Source organism: Homo sapiens, chromosome 20 (assembly GCF_000001405.40).
Source record: "Homo sapiens chromosome 20, GRCh38.p14 Primary Assembly".
Classification (NCBI taxonomy): Eukaryota; Metazoa; Chordata; class Mammalia; order Primates; family Hominidae; genus Homo; species Homo sapiens.
In genome coordinates, this window is record NC_000020.11 from 18,359,301 (window position 1) to 18,378,914 (window position 19,614).

The 19,614-nt window shown below is 41.4% G+C and overlaps 1 long non-coding RNA gene across 1 annotated transcript; it reads left to right on the plus strand.

Moving 5' to 3' along the window:
- The first annotated feature begins 7 nt into the window (after positions 1–7).
- On the plus strand, positions 8–3,599 carry LOC107985418 (uncharacterized). The gene is made up of 4 exons (XR_001754517.2): positions 8–136; positions 688–825; positions 2,224–2,323; positions 3,395–3,599. It is a non-coding gene; the product is annotated as an uncharacterized LOC107985418 (long non-coding RNA).
- Positions 3,600–19,614: the final 16,015 nt, after the last annotated feature.

Sequence of the window (19,614 nt, forward strand, 5' to 3'; positions counted from 1 at the left end):
AGTACCCTAGTTGCACGGAACTCAGAATGCAGGGACTTCTAGGTATATTACGACTTAAAACAGGAGGTTCTAGAACACATAAGCACAGGTGACCCATGGGAGTAGACATCTGTGGCTGTTCTGGAAACCAACCACAGTGAGCACCATTTTAAGTAAAAATGTTCTAAGTTACAGATGACTTGAAGGATCTTACTTTGCAGAAGTCCTTGAACAATGTTTTCTACCTAATATCCTCATGCCATTTTTGGCAACTCACTAGAACAGTTTTCAGAGAAAAAGCCTCTCCAGTGATGATCTAACTTAACCCAGGCAGCTTGGTTTTCTGTCACTGTAGCATAATGTCAAAATTCCTTTTCTCCATTTATTACTCATCACATAACACCCTAAATCCTCAAGAAAACTATTTGGAAATATCTTAATATGGCACATCACTTTCAGCGTGTGCTCTATAAATGTGTTCTTATTTTGAAAAGTGAATGGATGTCTAAATCCCAAGAACAAGCACAGAAAGGCAGAACAGGGCTAGCAGCTTGTCTTCCCAGAATGAATATTGCGCCAACCACTGTGAAAACCTGGAACTCCAATAGTCATTCCACACACAAAAAAAATCTGATGCTTAGCATACATATTTTTGGAACATCTAATAAGTTAATACTTTACATTAGTGGGTTTTTTTTACATTTATAGTAAATCTGACACATAAAGACCTCCATCCTCAGCCACCCCAACTCTGTTTGAATGGCACCTGGTGGCTTGTCTGATGAGCTGCAGCCACACTGCCACCAGCTTGCCCAGCCTCAGGCTTGTCCTCCAGGGCTTGGATAGGTAAGTAAATGACTCCACTGACATAGTGACTCCCAGCTTCTGGAAACCAGGAAATAAATATGATTTCTAAGAGAGCTGAGAAATTAAGGCTTGAATTTGGCACAGATCTGCTTTCTTTTCCTCTTCTCGCTAGCTTGTGACCAGCTGTTGGATCGGAGTTGGGTAAACTCACATCTTGCACACAGGCCTCCAGCTTGTGCTTGGTATTTATGGGGAGACACGTCTCCAGCTTTGCTGAGTGTGAGCCCCTACAGGATCCTGGGGCAAAGGGAAGACAAGAAGCCTGAGTGAAGCCCAGGCAGGCCTTTTGAGGGGCTTGTCTTTCTTGACAAGTGGAGGGAGGCCACAGAAACTTTCTAAGCCATCACTGTCATGGTCCCCTCTGTGCAGGCCACTCCGGCAGCTCTGAAAGGATGGTGTTGAGGAATGCAAGGACAGGGTTGGGGAGATCTGTAGGGTGGCGATTTTATCAAACCTGCAAGAGATGATCTTGGTCTAAGGTGGCTGTTGTAGGAATAAAGAGGAGGAAAAGGATCCAGGATCCAGGAACAATTGAAGAGATGCAACCCACAGGGCTGGGCACTGGATGTGAATGGGAGGAGGAGGGAGAGCTGGGCTGACTGTCAGGGAGGATCCTTGAGCATGTTGGGTGAGACCAGCTGAGTCAGAGAAGAGGTGACAGGGCAGGGCCTCAGGACTAGAGCTCACCTGCTGACACAGCATAGCAGAGGACGCTGAGGGGATGAACTCAGGCAGCCAGGCAGGAAGTGTGCTGGGCCCCAGAGCCTCCCTTTGCCATTGCCTCTGAGTGACCTCCCTGGAGGAAAAAGTCACACACTTGCTTATACAAGGCTGCAATGATTTGAGAGCATAATAAATACCAAAACAGTAAAATTCCATGGTGCTACTTGCTCTCTTCCCTAGAGAAAGGAAAAGCATGGAAAAATAATGTTGGATGTGCTATCACCTAAGCAGATCAGCAACATGGCTTAAAGGTGAGCACCACTGGGCATAATGCACACTTCAATTAAATGCAAAGTTATCATGTGCTCTTCTTTCAGAACTTTTAAATGTAAAATATAAGACACATAAGAAGAAACTCGAGAAAGAATTTCCAGCTTTTGTTAGACCTCACAGAGAGGCCTGTCCATTGTGCAAATAATCTTGCATTTGGGTGCCTATTTGCCCAGGTCTTATATTAAAAAAGATATTTACTATGGTCTGAATGTTTGTGATCGCAGCCCCCCAAATTCATACGTTGAAGCCTAATCCCTAATGTGGTGGTATTAAGAGGTGGGGCCCTTGGGAGGTGATTAAGTCATAACACTCCACCCTCATGGATGGGATTAATGCCTTCCTAAAAGAGTCCTAAGGGAGCTTATTTGCCTCTTCCATCAGGTGAGGACACAGGTAGAAGGTGTCAACTATGAGGAATGGGCCTTCACCAGACACCAAATCTGCTATTTCCTTGATCTCGGACTTCCTAGCCTCCAGAACTGTGAGCAATAATGTTATTTGTAAATTACACAGTCTAAAGTATTTTGCAGCCAAAACAGACTAAGAAAGAATATTGTAAGGATTCAAACAAAGGGAGGGATGGTCAAAGCTACATGCAATACCAAAAGCCTGAAAGGACAAAGGTACCTGATCTTAGCTATAATGTTAATCTGGGCATCCTTCCCCTAGGGATGATCCAATTCATGATCCACTAGGCAGAAGACAAACACTGATTGACAGATGTGTGCACTTAATTCCTTCTCTCTCTCAATGTCACGGCAAATCCTCATGCACAGAGGTCACATTTTATTCCTTTACCTCCAAAGGAATAGACACACACTAAATACCTTTAGATTGCATCATTTCCATTTAATGCTGGTCCTGATATTAAGGAATTTAAGAAGAGAGTAGGAGAAGGAGGTGAAATAAGCTTCCTACTTTCACAGCAGGTAACATGTTTCTTGGTACATGGATTAAAATCAGGATTTTTGTTAATAATAAAATAGATTTCCTGTAAAGTCTTTATGTAAAACAGTCTATGCACAGACCTTTAATAAATTGATAATGTATGGACAATATTTCAGTAATTTTTCTTGATTTGAATTTTCTGCACTAATTTCTTACAATAAACATGTAATGTTTTACACAAATTATTTCAATAGGAGAAATAGTAAATCATTTAGTCGGTCAAAACTTGATGAACCTAAATGTTTTCATGACTACAAATGTGTCCAAGAGGCAACACATCCTGCAATGTTACCCACCTTACAACACAAAAGCCCACATAACCAGGATATGATTTGAATTTTTAAATACTTATTTTGCAATTTTAAGTTATAAGGAGTTGATACCCAAATATTTCCTAATTTAACTGGCTTAAGTATTTTTATTTTTATTTTTATCTACAATCTTACATCAGAACTATCAGATTTGTTTTTATGTGTTTTTCATGCTTAACAGCCAAGACATCCCTGCTGCAAAGCCTGATTTTTGGCTAGAAAATCTTTTGCCCATACCAAAAACACAGTATATTTTCTCAATAATTATTTCCTGATAATCTACTTTGTGCCAGGAACTGGAATTTGACATAAGACTCCACACCAACATATTTTCAGTCTTCTGGGAAGATGGCATCTGACCAGGCAAGAACTACCCGGACCGATGGTTTCTGCTGGAGGGAGAACTAGAGGTGGTTTGGGGCACACAGAGGGGAAGCCCTCATCTGGTCTTCAGGGCAGGGTGGTGGAGACAAACAGGCAGAGGCAGCCATGTTCACATGAGTCAGGGTAAAGAGCACATCCCTGGGGAACTTTTTTATACCCAGGTACAGTCACCATGGGGAGTGACGGCTGGGACGTGGGGGACCACGGAGTCGCCAGCCAAGTCGGGAAGGGCGTTTGGATTTCTCAGGAAGACATCGCGGGCCACCCAGAGAAGGGCAGGACACAGGGCACGAGGACATGAGGAAGGAGGCTCATGCCCACCAAGCGCAGGGCCCAGCTGAGACCAGTGAGGGCAGATGGGAGCCTGAGCAGGTACAGGGTCAGGAGTTACGAAGATAGTGGTCAGGTTCCTAGAGCTCAGGCATTCAGCTGGGGCGTGGTGGGGAAGTCCACTGGGGCAGCTGGAGGCACAAGAGAGAAGGGCTGGATGTCCCTGAGGCCAGCATCTGAATGAGAGCAGAGCTCGTGGAGAGCACAGCAAAGTTAAACGAAAGCCTACCAAGGTAGGAGCGAAAGGTATTAGGCAAGAGAAGACAACATAAGAAGTAAAAGTGATAAGTTCACTGATTTATACACTAACTCACACTAAGGATAGGAACTGTGCAGTGTTGATCCACGCCTAGAGGTGGAAGTTATCTAAGGCAGCAGTCCCCAACTTTTTGGGCACCAGGAACCGGTTTCATGAAAGACATTTTTCCACTGACCAGGTGCAGGGGCTTGTGGGGGGGTGGCTTCGGGATGATTCAAGTGCAGTACATTTATTGTGTACTTTATTTCTATTATTACTACATTGCAATATATAATGAAATAATTATACAGCTTACCTTAATGTGGAATCAATGGGAGCCCTGAGCTTGTTTTCCTGCAAGTAGATGGTCCCATCTGGGGGTGAGAGGAGACAGTGGCAGATATCAGGGATTAGATTTTAATAAGGAGTGCACAACCTAGATCCCTCACATGCACCATTCACAATAGGATTCACACTTCTATGAGAACCTAATGCCACCACTGATCTGACAGGAGGCGGAGCTCTGGTGGTAAAGCAAGCAATGGGGAGCAGCTGTAAATACAGATGAAGCTTCACTTACTTGCCCACTGCTCACCTCCTGCTGTGCAGCCTGGCTCTTAACAGGCCACAGACCACTCCATGGCCCAAGGATCGGGGACCCATGATCTAACCCAATAACTCTCACATGCTGCAACCCTGGCCACAAGGAAGGTGACAGGACTTAGGGCTAGGGGAATAACTTCAGCAGAGGAAGTGGCTCCTCAGCTAGGTTGAAAACATGCAGGGATTTCTAGCAGGCCTGAACCTGGAGGTGCAGGATGATGCTGCAGAGAGGGAGATGCTTATCTCATCATGCAGGGAGTGAATGCTAGTGACCGGTTGAGGCAGTTTGAGCAGGACTTTTTACCTGGTGGAAGGCAAAGGAATCCAGTGTCTTCAGACCCCTCAGGCAGGAGGGGGTCCAAGGGAACATACACCAACCACAGCCCCCTTTCCACCATGGCCTGCAAGAGGAGAGGTCACGTGGACCTCTTGCTCTTGGCAGAAACTTCTCTCTACTTCCTTGATCATGAAAGTTTTGTTGCAAAGTCAACAAGACTAAAGCATGTGCTTGTGACTTGGTTGTTCCACATTCTAAAACAAGATTCTCAACTTCTTGACATGGAATCAAGTTTATTGACAAAACGCATTACACAGACCTCCTTTTGAAGAGCCATGGTTCTTCACGGTTTCCTATTGTTGTATAACATATTACCACAAACTTAGCTGCTTAAAACAACCCACACTTATTATCTCATAGGTTCTGTGGGTCAGGAGTCTAGGCATGGCTTAGCAGAGTCCTCTGCTTAAGGTTTGACCAGGCTGCAATCAAGGTGCTGGCTGGGGCTGTGATCCCATTTGAGCTCGAGATTCTTTTCCAGGCTCACTGGTTGTTGGTGGAATTCAGTTCCTGGCAGTTATAGAATGGAGGCCTCCAACTCCTAGAGGCTGCATGGCAGTTGCTGCAACGTAGTCCTCTACACTCATGGCAGTTTACTTCTTCAAGATGAACAGAAGATAATCTCAGCATTTTGAGTCTCCAATCCTTAGATGCCCCTTTAAAGGGCTCACCTGATTAGGTCAGGCCCACCCAAGATAATCTCCCTTTTGATTAACTTAAAGTACATTGATTATGGACTCGCTTTATGCCCCAAATCCCTTCTCTTTTGCCATATAACATAACCTACTCACAGGTATGACATCTCATATTCACAGGCCCCTCATGGAAAAGAAGGAATGGGAGGAGGGATATGTATGAGTGTGACTCATTGAGAGGCATCTTCGAATTCTGCCAACCACATCTGGGCTTTACCACTTTGTATACCCAGTTTGAAGGAAAAATAAGAGAGGGCACATATGGTTGGAACAGCAAAGAAAAAACAAGAAATTAAAGCAGCTTTTCAAAAGAGGGGTGTGGTGCCTGGGGTGAGGTGCCAGAAGGGCTAGGATGAGGAAAATAGGAAACCTCATGTGAAGCTTCGTTTCTCTGTGCATGTCCATAGAGCCTTGGCCGATATTCTCAGATCTCATCTAATTCCTACTCCACTCTCTCTGCCATGTGTGAAGTATGAAAGTGCTGGGAGAGACACAGACTTATACATTTTACTGTTATGTGCTTTTTATATTTTTATATTTATCTACATAATAACTTTCCGTTTCAGGTAGTGGACTATGAAAAAGTAAAAACCACGTTTTCTGAAGCTTATTGATAATTACCATGGAATGCAAACCCTTTATTCTCTAGATAATCTACTAATTGACTCCAATTTATTCATTCTATTTATTTACTCACTGTGGTAGCCAGCTTCCAAAATGGCTCCCAGTGATCCTTACTTCCTGGCATGTGTGCCCTCACGTGGTTGCCTCTCAGCTGAATAGATATGACCACAATGGGATATGGTGGAAATGATGGTTGATGATTTCCAAGGTAAAGTGATAAAACACAAGAGGCTTCTGTCTTGCTGTCTCTGGGATGGCTCACTTGAGGGGAAGCAGGCCGCCATGTTGTGATGCCACTCAAGCCGCCCATGCAGAGGTCAACACTGGGAGGGACTGAGCCCTCCTGACAGTAACCAGCACCACGTGAGCAAGTCCTCTTGGAAACATATCTTCTGGCCTTGGCCAAGCTTTCAGATGACCAAAGCCCTTGCCAACATCTTGACTAAAACTTATGAAAGACTCCAAACCAGAACAACTCAATTCAGCAGCTTCTGAATTTCTCATCCACAGAAACTGAGATACTGATTTTTTATAATTTAGGCAACTAAATTTTAGAGTAATTTGTTAGGCAGCAATAAATGCTTAAATATATACTGACCTTCTATTGTTTGCCCGGCCTGGGTCTGGATAGAGAAAGAACAGAGATAGCAACTTCCCTGCTGGTATAGCGTCTCTGAAGTGGAGTGCCTTTGGGTGAGCTGTGGAGGCTGTGGTGGAAATGTCAGCTGGAGCAGTAAGAGAAGAGTCTAGATGTTCTGAGTGTATAGGGCTGCTGGGGTAAGAGGGTGGCATCAAACCAGCTCCCCCCCACCCACTAAATCTAATACAATTTTATTTTTAAAAAAGTCCACTCTATTCAAACGTTAGAGCAGGAGGTGTTCAGAGGCAAACAGACATTTTTAGAAATTATGTGTCTCATACTCCATGAGACTAACACGTCACCTCCCTCATCAAAGCAGCCTAGGGGAAGAATGTGAAAGGTCAAATTCTAAAAATCTCTAATACTTCCCCAAATTTGAAGGGAAAACAACTGAGGGAGGGAATACACTTACTAAAACAAAATACATGAATGTCCCTCTAATGGTGACTCCTCCCTAACAACTACATACCGGCAAAGCAAACCAAAGCTGGACAGTAGTTAAAGCGGTAAAAACAGATTTTCTTCAGGACTGCAACAGGGAAAGAGAGATCACACTGTAGAACTGGACTCAATTCTGAACACAGTGAGGATAAGTGGGAATAAGCCAGGAGCAGGGTGGAGGTCAGTGGATGGGAAATTACTAAGAAGACATCAGAGGAAAGGGGCCTCCTGGTTAAACAGATTCAACAGGATTCTTGCTGAAGGCAGGCCAGGATAATCACATATTACTTGGGGGATGCTGGAGGATGAGGAATTTGATTGGATATTGAGAGTGATCAGGTATGAGGGGTGGGGAATATCTCTCTAAACTGACTTAGCAAGATTCTCACTAAAACTCAGCAATGCAGGCCCAAGAAGGACGAAAGCCAAGGTTGAGGCCTAGAGGGCTTAGATGAGCCTAACTAAAGTTTAGTCAAGGAGAGTCTTTGGCATTACTCAGAAAAGGAAAGAATAAGTGCCCAGATTTCATCAGTTTCTTTTTTCATGCTTTGAGAAAAAGGGAAAGAACATTTGAGGATGGAACTAGCAAGAAGAAATAATTAAAACACCACAACAGCTGGCAGTGGGATTGTGGATCAAGCTTGAGTGTGGATCAAGCTTGATTTATATAAAATCAAGTTCAAGAATGCCTCTCCCTGCTGGAGATTTAATCATGTTTGGGAAAGGTTTCCCCAAATCCCAAATTTCCCCTTTTTCTCTTCTCTGTTTGATGGGGTTGCAGGGAGGAAGTTTCTGCTGAGGAGAGGCAAGATACAGGGGAGAAAGTGGAGGTTGAGGGTGGAGAGGAAAAAAATTGTTAGTATTGTTTGGATCAGTAGTAAAATTTCTGAGGCTCTCACTACATTGGGAAGGAATAATTTAAAAACTGAGCCATTTATCACCACCCATTAAATCAGGGGCCTGGGAACTGACACTCATAAAAATTAAAATAAATAAATATTGAATTAATGTCTGCTAAACTTTTTTTTAATCAAGGTAATTAATGAATGAACTAATACCTCTCTACTTCTGAATAATTTCCTTGGTTTCAATTTCATTTAGTTCTGCTCTGATCTTTGTTATTTTGTTTCTTCTGCTAGCTTTGGGATTGCTTTCTTCTTGCTCTTTTTAGTTCCTTGAGATGTGACACTAGGTTGTTAATTCGTGATTTTTTTTTTTTTTAGAGACAGGGTCTTGCTATGTTGCCCAGGCTGATCTGAAACTCCTGGGCTCAAGCAATCCTCCTGCCTTGGTCTCCCAAAGTGCTGGGATTACAGAGTGAACTATTTTTTTGAAGTAGGCATTTAATGCTATAAATTTTCCTCTTAGCACTGCTTTTGCTGTATTCCAGAGGTTTTACTATGTTGTGTCTCCATTTTCATTTGTTTCAAAACATTTTAAAATTTCCATCTTAATTTAATTATTAATTCAAAGATCATTTAGAAATGTGTTGTTTAATTTTCAGGTATTTGTGTAGTTTCACAAGTTCCTCTTGGTATTGATTTCCAGTTTTATTCTGCTATGGTCTGAGAAGATACTTGATACAATTTCAATTTTTTAAACTATACTTTAAGTTCTGGGATACATGTGCAGAACATGCAGGTTTGCTACATAGGCATACATGTGCCGTGGTGGTTTGCTGCACCCATCAACCCATCATCTACATTAGGTATTTCTTTTTTAAAAATGTATTGAGACTTGTTTGATGAACTAACACATGGTCTGTCTTGGAGCATGTACCATGTGCCGATGAGAAGAATTTATGTTCTGCAGTTGTTAGGTAGAAGGTTCTGTAAATGTTTATTAGGTCCATTTAAAGTCCAACTTAAGTCCAGTGTTTCTTTGTTAATTTTCTGTTTTGATAATCTGTCTAGTGTTGTGAGTGGGGTATTGAAATCCCCTCCCCACAGCTTATGATTTATTGCTGTCTATCTCTTTCTTTAGGTCTAGTAATATTTGTTTTATGATTCTGGGTGCTCCAGTGTTAGATGCATATATATTTAGGATTGTTATCCACTTGTTGAAGTGATCCTTTTATCATTATGTAAGACCTTGTCTTTTTTTATTCTGTTTTTTATTTAAAGTCCATTTCATCTGACACAAGTATAGCTACTTCTGCTCACCTCTGATTTCCATTTGCTTGGAATATTTTTTCCATCTCTTTACCTTCAGTTTATAAGCATCTTTATCAGTATGGTTAATTTCTTGTAAGCAGCATATAGTTGGTGCAGGCTTTTCTTATCTATTTTACCCATCTGTATCTTTTAAGTGGAGCACTTGGCCCATTTATATTCAACATTAATATTGATATGTGAGGTTTCATTCCTGACATAATGTTAATTGTTATCTAGTATTTTTTGTGGGTTTTTTTTTCTTAATCTGCTTGTCTTTGTGGTCTAGAACCAAAAACGAGCCTGAATTCAAAGCAAACCTAAGCAAAAAGAACAAAGCTAGAAGCATCACATTACCTGAGTTATACTACAAGGCTACACTAACCAAAGCAGCATGGTCTGGTATAAAAATAAATGTACAGATGAATGGAATAGAATAGGAGCCCAGAAATAAAGCCACATATCTAAAGCCAGCTGATCTTTGACAAAGTTGACAAAAACATACGCTGGGGGGAAAGACACCCTTTTCAATAAATGTGGCTGGGAAAACTGGATTGTCACATGCAGAAGAATGAAACTAGACTCCCTAATACCCACCATATACAAAAATAAATTCAAGCCTATAGTCCCAGCTAATCAGGAGTCTGAGGCAGGAGGTTGAGATGGCAGTGAGCCATGATCCTGCCACTGTACTCCAGCTTGAGTGACAGAGCAAGACCCTGCCTCAAAAATTAAAAAAAAAAAACTCAAGATGGATTAAAGACCTAAATATAAAAGCAGAAACTGAAAAAATTATAAGAATTCCTAGGGAAAACTTTTCTGGTCAAAGCAAAGAATTCCTGACTAAGACATCAAAAGCACAGGAAACAAAAACAAAAATTGACAAATGAAACTTAATTAAACTAAGAAGTTTTTGCATAGCAAAAGAAATAATCAACAGAGTGAACAATCTGCAGAACAAGAGAAAATATTTGCACACTATACATCCAATAGGAGAGTAATATCCAGAATTTACAAGAGGTTCAAACAACTCAACAAAAACCTCTCAACTCTATTAAAAAGTGGGCAAAGATTTTGCCACATTTTCTTAATCCAGTCTATCATTGTTGGACATTTGGGTTGGTTCCAAGTTTTTGCTATTGTTTTGGAATACTATGCAGCCATAAAAAATGATGAGTTCATGTCCTTTGTAGGGACATGGATGAAGCTGGAAACCATCATTCTCAGCAAACTATTGCAAGGACAAAAAACCAAACACCGCATGTTCTCACTCATAGATGGGAATTGAACAATGAGAACACATGGACACAGGAAGGGGAACATCACACACTGGGGCCTGTTGTGGGGGGGGGGGCGGGGGGAGGGATAGCATTAGGAGATATACCTAATGTTAAATGATGAGTTAATGGGTGCAGCACACCAACATGGCACATGTATACATATGTACTAACCTGCATGTTGTGCACATGTACCCTAAAACTTAAAGTATAATAAAAAAAGTGTCAACTATGACAATATCATACACTAATTTGACTGCCCTAAAAATCTCCTGTAATCCACATATTCTTCCCTTTCTTCTTCCCCCGAACCCCTGTTAATCACTGATCTTTTAATTGTCCCTATAGTTTTGCCTTTTCCAAAATGTCCTATAGTTGTAATTATACAGTATGTAACCATTTCGGATAGGCTTCTTTGATTTAGCAATATATATTTAAGGTTCCCCCATATCTTAAAAAAAAAAGCAGTGTTATTGAGGTAGAATTGGCATAAAATAAAGTACACGTGTCAAATATTTTTTAAAAAAGCGGGCAAAGACTATGAATAGGCATTTTTTCAAAAGAAGACATCCAAATAGCCAAAAAGTATATGGACAAATGCTCAAGATCACTAATCATTAAATTAAAACCATAATAAGATATCACCTTATACCAGTTAGAATGGCTATCAGTTAAAGTCAAACAATAACCAATGTTGGCAAGGATGCAGAGAAAAAGGGACGCTTAGACATTGTTGGTGGGAACATAAATTAGTACAACCTCTATGGAAAATAGTATGGAGATTTCTCAAATAACTAAAAATACAGCTATCACTTGATCCTGTGATCACAATACTGGGTATCTACCCAAAAGAAAATAAATCATTGTATCAAAAAGACACCAGAACTCATATGCTTATCATAGCACTATTCACAATTGCAAAGATATGGAATCAATCTAAGTGTTCTTCAATGGATAACTGGATAAGGAAAATGTGAGATACACACACACACACACACACAGTGGAATAGTCTTCAGCCATAAAAAAAGAATGAAATCACGTTTTCTTCAACATGGATGGAACGGGAGGCCATTATCTTAAGTGAAACAACTCAGACACAGAAACTCAAATACCTCATGTTCTCACTTCTAAGTGGACACTAAATAATGTGTACATGTGGACATAGAGAGTGGAATAATAGACACTGGAGACTTAGTAGGGTGGGAGGATGGGAGAGGAATGAGGGATGAGAACTTACTTAGTGGGTGTAATGTACATATCTGGGTGATGGTTACACTAAAAATCCAGACTTCATTGCTACGCGATATAACCATGTAACAAGACTGCACCTGTATCCCTTAAATTTACACAAAAAAATAAAAATTTCCTTAAGCGAGGCCCAGAAAGACAAATACTGCGTGATTTCACTTATATGTAGAATCTTAAAAAGTTGAACTTGCAGGGCATGGTGGCGCACACCTGTAATCCCAGCTACTTGTGAGGCTGGAGACAGGCGAATCGCTTGAACCCAGGTCGCAGAGGTTGCAGTGAACTGAGATTGCACCATTGCATTCCAGCCTCGGCAACAAGAGCAAAACTCCATCTCAAAAAAAAAAAAAAAGGTTGAATTCATAGGAGGATAAAGTAAAATGGTGGTTACCAGGGTGTGAGGTTGCAGAGGTGGATGGGAAAAGGGAGACTTTGGTCCAAGATTACAGAGTTTCAGGTAGATAAGATGAATAGGTTCTGGTGATTAATTGCACAGATGGCAACCATAGTTAATAGTCATGTATTGTATATTTCAAAATTGCTAGAGGAGTGGACTTTAGATGTTCCTACCACAACAAAATTATAGGTACTTGAGGCCGGGTGTGATGGCTCACACCTGTAATCCCAGCACTTTGGGAGGCCTAGGTGGGTGGATCACCTAACGTTAGGAATTCAAGACCAGCCTGGCCAACATGATGAAACCCCGTCCCTACTAAAAATACAAAAATCAGCTTGCAGTTTGCTGAGATGGCGCAACTGCACTCCAGCCTGGGCAACAGAGCAAGATTCTGTCACAATAATTTTAAAAAAAAAGTATTTACCAGAATTTTTGAATAACATTCTACTAAAGTAACTTTAGAAATATTTATAATACAATTTAAGAGTTAGTTAAAAGATGCCCGTTATTTCTATTTAGTGATGTACTAGAAGCTGTAGTGCTTCCAGGATTACAGATAAGTGAGAGGCATGATATTAAAATGGACAAGAGTCAACATGTATGTATTTTTTTTCATTTTTTCAGACGATTTATGAACAAAGTTAAAGCAGTGTCCCAGCCTAACCAGTAGTCTCACAAAGTCAGGTTTATTTGATTCATTGCAACAAGGAGTCCATTCACAGGAAAAACAAAGGAAAAGATTTAGTAATTCTAGGACTCTCAAGAAGGATGAAATTTAGTCAAAATTGAAACACACAGGTTTTTGATAGGCTCAGAATAAAGCAGAGCTATGTGTAAAAGGTCATCACCACATTTGGACTGGAAAATGGGCCCAGGGTTTTATGTTCTTGGAAACTACAAAGTTAAAAGAGATGTAAAAAGTTGTGTCTGTAAACCTCTGTGCTGAAGCTCTGCACCAGGGTTGGAAATTGAGGCTGCTTCTCTGTGTCAAAGTGACTTCGATCCCCCAGGCAAGAGTGGGATGTTTCATTCATACTGATTTAATTTCAAATAGCAAAGCTCCTGGCAGTCTATAATTTTTGAGAACAAAATTCCTCCATAGTAAGAAACCAGTAGTCACTCAAAGAGAGGGTTGTTAACGGCATTTCACAGCTGTGGCTTGTTCACAGAAGACAAGTCATCTGCTCTAAATTTGCAGCTGGCTTTATCTGTGTCTGTTATCCCAGCTTGACGAAAGTCCAGACTGATTTTTACTTTCTCAGCCTGAATTAATTTTTACTTTCTCAGTAATTATAAAACTTCAGAAAATTGTTAGCACCAAAAAAGAGTTTTCAGCAAGGAGCCAGGTGAGAAAATAGAGTCAAAACTTGATAGTATTTGAGTTTGACAAACCTAACAAAAACAAACAATGGGGAAAGGACTCCTTAGTCAATAAATGGTGCTTAATGGGCTAGCCACATGCAGAAGATTGAAACTGGATCCCTTCCTTACACCATATACAAAAATGAACTCAAGATGGATTACAAACTTAAATGTAAAACCCAAAACTATAAAAACCCTGGAAGACAACCTAGGCAATATCATTCTGGACATAGAATAGGCAAAGATTTTATGATGAAGACACCAAAAGCAATTGCAACAAAAGCAAAAGTTGACAAATGGGATCTAGTTAAACTAAAGCGCTTCTGCACAGCAAAGGAAACTACAAACAAAGTGAACAGACAACCTACAGAATGGGAGTAAATTTTTGCAAACTATTCATATGACAAAAGTCTAAAATCCAGCATCTATAAAGATCTTAAATAAATTTACAAGAAGAAAAAACAATTCCATGTGGGCAAAGGACATGAAAAGACACTTTTCATACATGTGGCCAACAATCATGTGAAAAAAAGCTCAACATCAATGATCATTAGAGAAATGCAAATCAAAACCACAGTGAGATACCATCTAACACCAATCAGAATGGCTACTTTTAAAAAGTCAAAAAGAAAAAACAAAAAAACCTGCTGGCAAGTTTGTAGAAAAAAGGTGATGCTTATACCCTGTTGGTGGGAGTGTAAATTAGTTCAATCATTGTGGAAGACAGTGTTACAATTCCTCAAAGACCTAAAAACAGAACTACCAGGCCAGGCATGGTGGCTCATGCCTGTAATCCCAGGCCAAGGCGGGTGGATCACCTGAGGCCAAGAGTTCGAGGCCAGCCTGGCCAATGTGGTGAAACTCCGTCTCTACTAAAAATACAAAAATTAGTAGGGCATGGTGGCGCACACCTGTAATTCCAGCTACTTGGGGGCTAAGGCAGGAGAATCGCTTGAACCCAGGTGGCAGAGGATGCAGTGAGCTGAGATCGTGCCACTGCACTCCAGTCCAGGCAAGATTCCAAAACAAAAAAAAACCATTCAACCCAGCAATCCCATTACTGGGCATATACCCAAAGGAATATAAATCATTCTATTATAAAGACACATGTATGCATATGTTCATTGCAGCACTATTCACAACAGCAAAGACATGGAATCAACCTAAATGCCAATCAATGGTAGACTGGATAAAGAAAATGTGCTACATGTACACAATGGAATACCACACCGCCATAAAAAAGAATGAGATCATGTCCTTTGCAGGGACATGGATGGAGCTGGAGGCCATTATCCTTAGCAGACTAATGCAGGAACAGAAAACCGAATACCACATGTTCTCACTTATAAGTGGGAGCTAAATGATGAGAACACATGGACACATAGATGGGAACAACACCCACTGGGGCCTATTGGAGGGTGAAGGATGGGAGGAGGGAGAGGATCAGGAAAAATAACTGTTGAATACTAGGCTTAATACCTGGGTGATGAAATAATCTGTACACTAACCTCCATGACACAAATATACCTATACAACAAACCTGCACATATACCCTGACCTTAAAATAAAAGTTAAATTTAAAAAAACTAAGTTAAAAATTAAAAAAAAAGAAAACATCACTAAGGGAAATACTATTTAAAACAACAAAAATATTAAGTGCCTAAAAGTTAACTGAACAAAAAAACACATAGTGTTTACAGGAAGAAAATTAACATTTTTACTGAGAATATAAAAGAAGTCAAGAATAAATAGAAAGATTACCATGGTTTTTGATTAATAAAGTCTCAGTTCTCCCTCAAATATATGTCTAAATTCCATGATATTCCCAATTAAATCTAAAGAAGAATTTTAAGAGTTTTAATAGACTAATTCGAGTTTGTGGAGAGGAGAAAATCTATGAATAGTAAATAATTTTTTTTTCTCTTTTCAATTTCTTTCTTTTTTTTTTTTTTTTTTTTTTTTTTAGTATTTATTGATCATTCTTGGGTGTTTCTCGCGGAGGGGGATTTGGCAGGGTCATAGGACAATAGTGGAGGGAAGGTCAGCAGATAAACAAGTGAACAAGGGTCTCTGGTTTTCCTAGGCAGAGGACCCTGCGGCCTTCCGCAGTGTTTGCGTCCCTGGGTACTTGAGATTAGGGAGTGGTGATGACTCTTAACGAGCATGCTGCCTTCAGAGCATCTGTTTAACAAAGCACATCTTGCACCGCCCTTAATCCATTTAACCCTGAGTGGACACAGCACATGTTTCAGAGAGCACGGGGTTGGGGGTAGGGTTGTAGATTAACAGCATCCCAAGGCAGAAGAATTTTTCTTAGTACAGAACAAAATGGAATTTCCTATGTCTACTTCTTTCTACATAGACACAGCAACAATCTGATTTCTCTATCTTTTCCCCACATTTCCCCCTTTTCTATTCGACAAAACCGCCATCGTCATCATGGCCCGTCCTCAATGAGCTGTTGGGTACACCTCCCACACGGGGTGGTGGCCCGGCAGAGGGGCTCCTCACTTCCCAGAAGGGGCGGCCGGGCAGAGGCGCCCCCCACCTCCCGGACGGGGCGGCTGGCCCGGCGGGGGCTGCCCCCCACCTCCCTCCCGGACGGGGCAGCTGCCGGGCAGAGACGCTCCTCACCTCCCAGACGGGGTCGCGGCCGGGCAGAGGTGCTCCTCACTTCCCAGACTGGGCAGCCAGGCAGAGGGGCTCCTCACATCCCAGACTATGGGCGGCAAGGCAGAGACGCTCCTCACTTCCCAGACGGGGTGGCGGCCGGGCAGAGGCTGCAATCTCGGCACTTTGGGAGGTCAAGGCAGGCGGCTGGGAGGTGGAGGTTGTAGCGAGCCGAGATCACGCCACTGCACTCCAGCTTGGGCAACATTGAGCACTGAGTGAACGAGACTCCGTCTGCAATCCCGGCACCTCGGGAGGCCGAGGCTGGCGGATCACTCGCGGTTAGGAGCTGGAGACCAGCCCGGCCAACACAGCGAAACCCCGTCTCCACCAAAAAAATACGAAAACCAGTCAGGCGCAGCGGCGCGCGCCTGCAATCCCAGGCACCCGCAGGCTGAGGCAGGAGAATCAGGCAGGGAGGTTGCAGTGAGCCGAGATGGCGGCAGTACAGTCCAGCTTCCGCTCGGCATCAGAGGGAGACCGTGGGGAGACGGGAGACGGGAGGGGGAGGGGGAGAGGATTTTTTGAAGCAGGACAATAGGAGTGACTACTTTAAAGATATTTATAGAGCATTTTGCAATAATCAGGCCAGACCTTTGTACACAAGAGAATTCAGGGTATGCTAAATAAAGATGGCCTTTCAACTAGTGTGGAGAAGATGAGTGACCCCAAAACTGTATTGGCACAAGGGATGGTTGCTCACTTGGGAAAAAGTAAACTTCAGTCCGTGTATCCTTTAGAAATATAAATGGAAATAAACTAAAAAGCTAAATAAAGCAGACAAGTATTTACATATTAGAAGAAAATATAAGATGAAAATGTTTTGATTTTGGAATAGTGAAGAACTTCAGCAAGTCAAAGACCTCAGAAGTCCTAAAAAATACTAAAATATTTGACAAAACAAATCTATAAAGCATTTATTAGACGGTATACAATATACATAAAGAAAAGGCAAGAAGGACAAGACACCTGTATTATCCAGAATATGTAAGGAATATGTAAAGAAATCTGACATTATAGCAATGAGAAACTATCCAATAGAAATTATCCCGTGAGAAATTATCCAATAAAAAATGGCAAAGCACATGGATGAGTGAGTCATGGAAGTACCTACCAACGCTTAATCCAGGAAGAGATAGTCTTAATAAGAAATCAGGAACAGGCAAAAAATAAATAAATAAATAAACTAACTAATGGCAATGATGTGTGTTTGATCTGCGAAATTGGGGAGGTGTGGAGAAAGGCATACTTTGGTGGGACTGTCAACTCTTATGAGGGAAATTTTGGCAACATCTTTCAACACTCAAAATATGCATAGTCTTAAATCCAGTGATTTTACTTTCTTCTGTCTTCACAAAATATTGACACATGACTAGAAATGTTGGTTAGCTCTGTTAATCTGTTTAAATAATAATGGTGTATGTCTATGTTTTATATTTTTTAAAAAAACACTTAAAAAGAATTTAGTCAATTCACAAATAATGGAAAGGTCCCCAAGATGTATAAATGAATAAAACCAATTACAGAATAATTACATTGTATTCAAACTTTAAGAAAACTATATATTTTATATGGTGTTAAATTGCAGAGAAAGATAAAGGTTTCCAAAGCCTGCACATACGCTGTTTTTTATTTTAGAGACGGGGTTTTGACATGTTGTCCAGGCTGGTCTCAAACTCCTGGGCTCATGCAATCCGCCTGCCTCAGCCTCCCAAAGTGCTAGGATTACAGACGTGAGCCACCGCGCCCGGCCAGCACATCCACTAACAGTGGTTACTGCTGGGGATTATGAGAGCCACAGAAATAGGACTTCCACTTTTTGTATAATATTCAAAATGTTATTCTTAATTTTCACTATAAAAATTTTATTCTAGTTTTATGCGTAAAGATTTAAAAATAACTAGTATTTTATTTATAATTACAACGTTCTATTAAAGCTAGGGGATTTATATCCTTACTAACAGAAATACAACAAGTAAAATTTATGTAGTCTAGGTAAACAGAAAATGTCACTATTTCATTAAAAGAGTAGGGTTCATTGAAAGTGAAAGGGAAATTTTGAGTCAATTAATTTAGGTAAATAATACCATGCATTTCCATCACTTCACAAGAGAGAAGGAAAGGCCAAGAGACGATGTGGACAGGAAAGCAGGGGCCTGGCAGAAGGAAAGGGATTGCATATAGAGGGAGTTTTTGGGGTCAGGTAAGGATTTGGGGGAAATGGGTAGAAAAACCAGTTGAGGGAGAGGGGATGAAGAAGGAGATGGGGGAAGGAGAGGGAAGAGGTGAGAGATGGAACTGTGTTTTTGTTGGCAATTCAAGTAAGAACCAAGACATCTCAGGAGCGTTCCCACGGAATGTCCAAATGCTCTGCCTTCCAGAAGCAGGTGCTGATGTATTTCGGGAACTCTGTGGACATACTTAGCAGTCTAAATCTAGATTCCGGGTTGAATTCCCAGCACTCAGTTCACCCAGATCTGGCCTCCAGCAGCAGGACCAGAAGCAGCAGCGAGGAGAGGCAGAAGCAGCAGCCACCTGGGCACTCCTCACCATCACAGAAGCGGCTCCCAGATGGCTCTGTGGGCCCAGGCCCCTCTTCCTTCCATTCAGAAAAACACACAGCAGTTAACTGCATCCGTGTGTGCAATTGAGAAGGTAACACACTTCATTTCCTGTTCATTGAGGGACAAAGGTATATGTGGCCTTTTGTCTCTCTTTTTGGGATTTACAATGAAAAGGAGGGGAGAGTAGAGAATGAGTCACTTTACCTTGCCTGTTCTATGTCCCCACAAGACCGTACCCTTAGAAAACCACAAAGGGAGGCTGGGTTTGCAATTACTTGAAGAACGGGAAGGTGGATGAGAATCCAAGAGATGCTCTTTATTTTCTGTTTGGCCAGGAAAAAGCAAAAACCTGGCTCCGAAGCAGTCAGAAATAGAAGTGGGAAAAGAAGCAAGTGATGTGCGTTCTTGAGGTCCTCCGAAGAGATGTCTTGGAGACAACAGAAATAAATGACCCTGTAAATTTTCTTTATCCTACTGGGCACCTTGACCAGAGCACCTGGAGCTGTGGCCTTGCACAGGTGTTGGGGAGGAACTCTTCTGGATTAAACATGG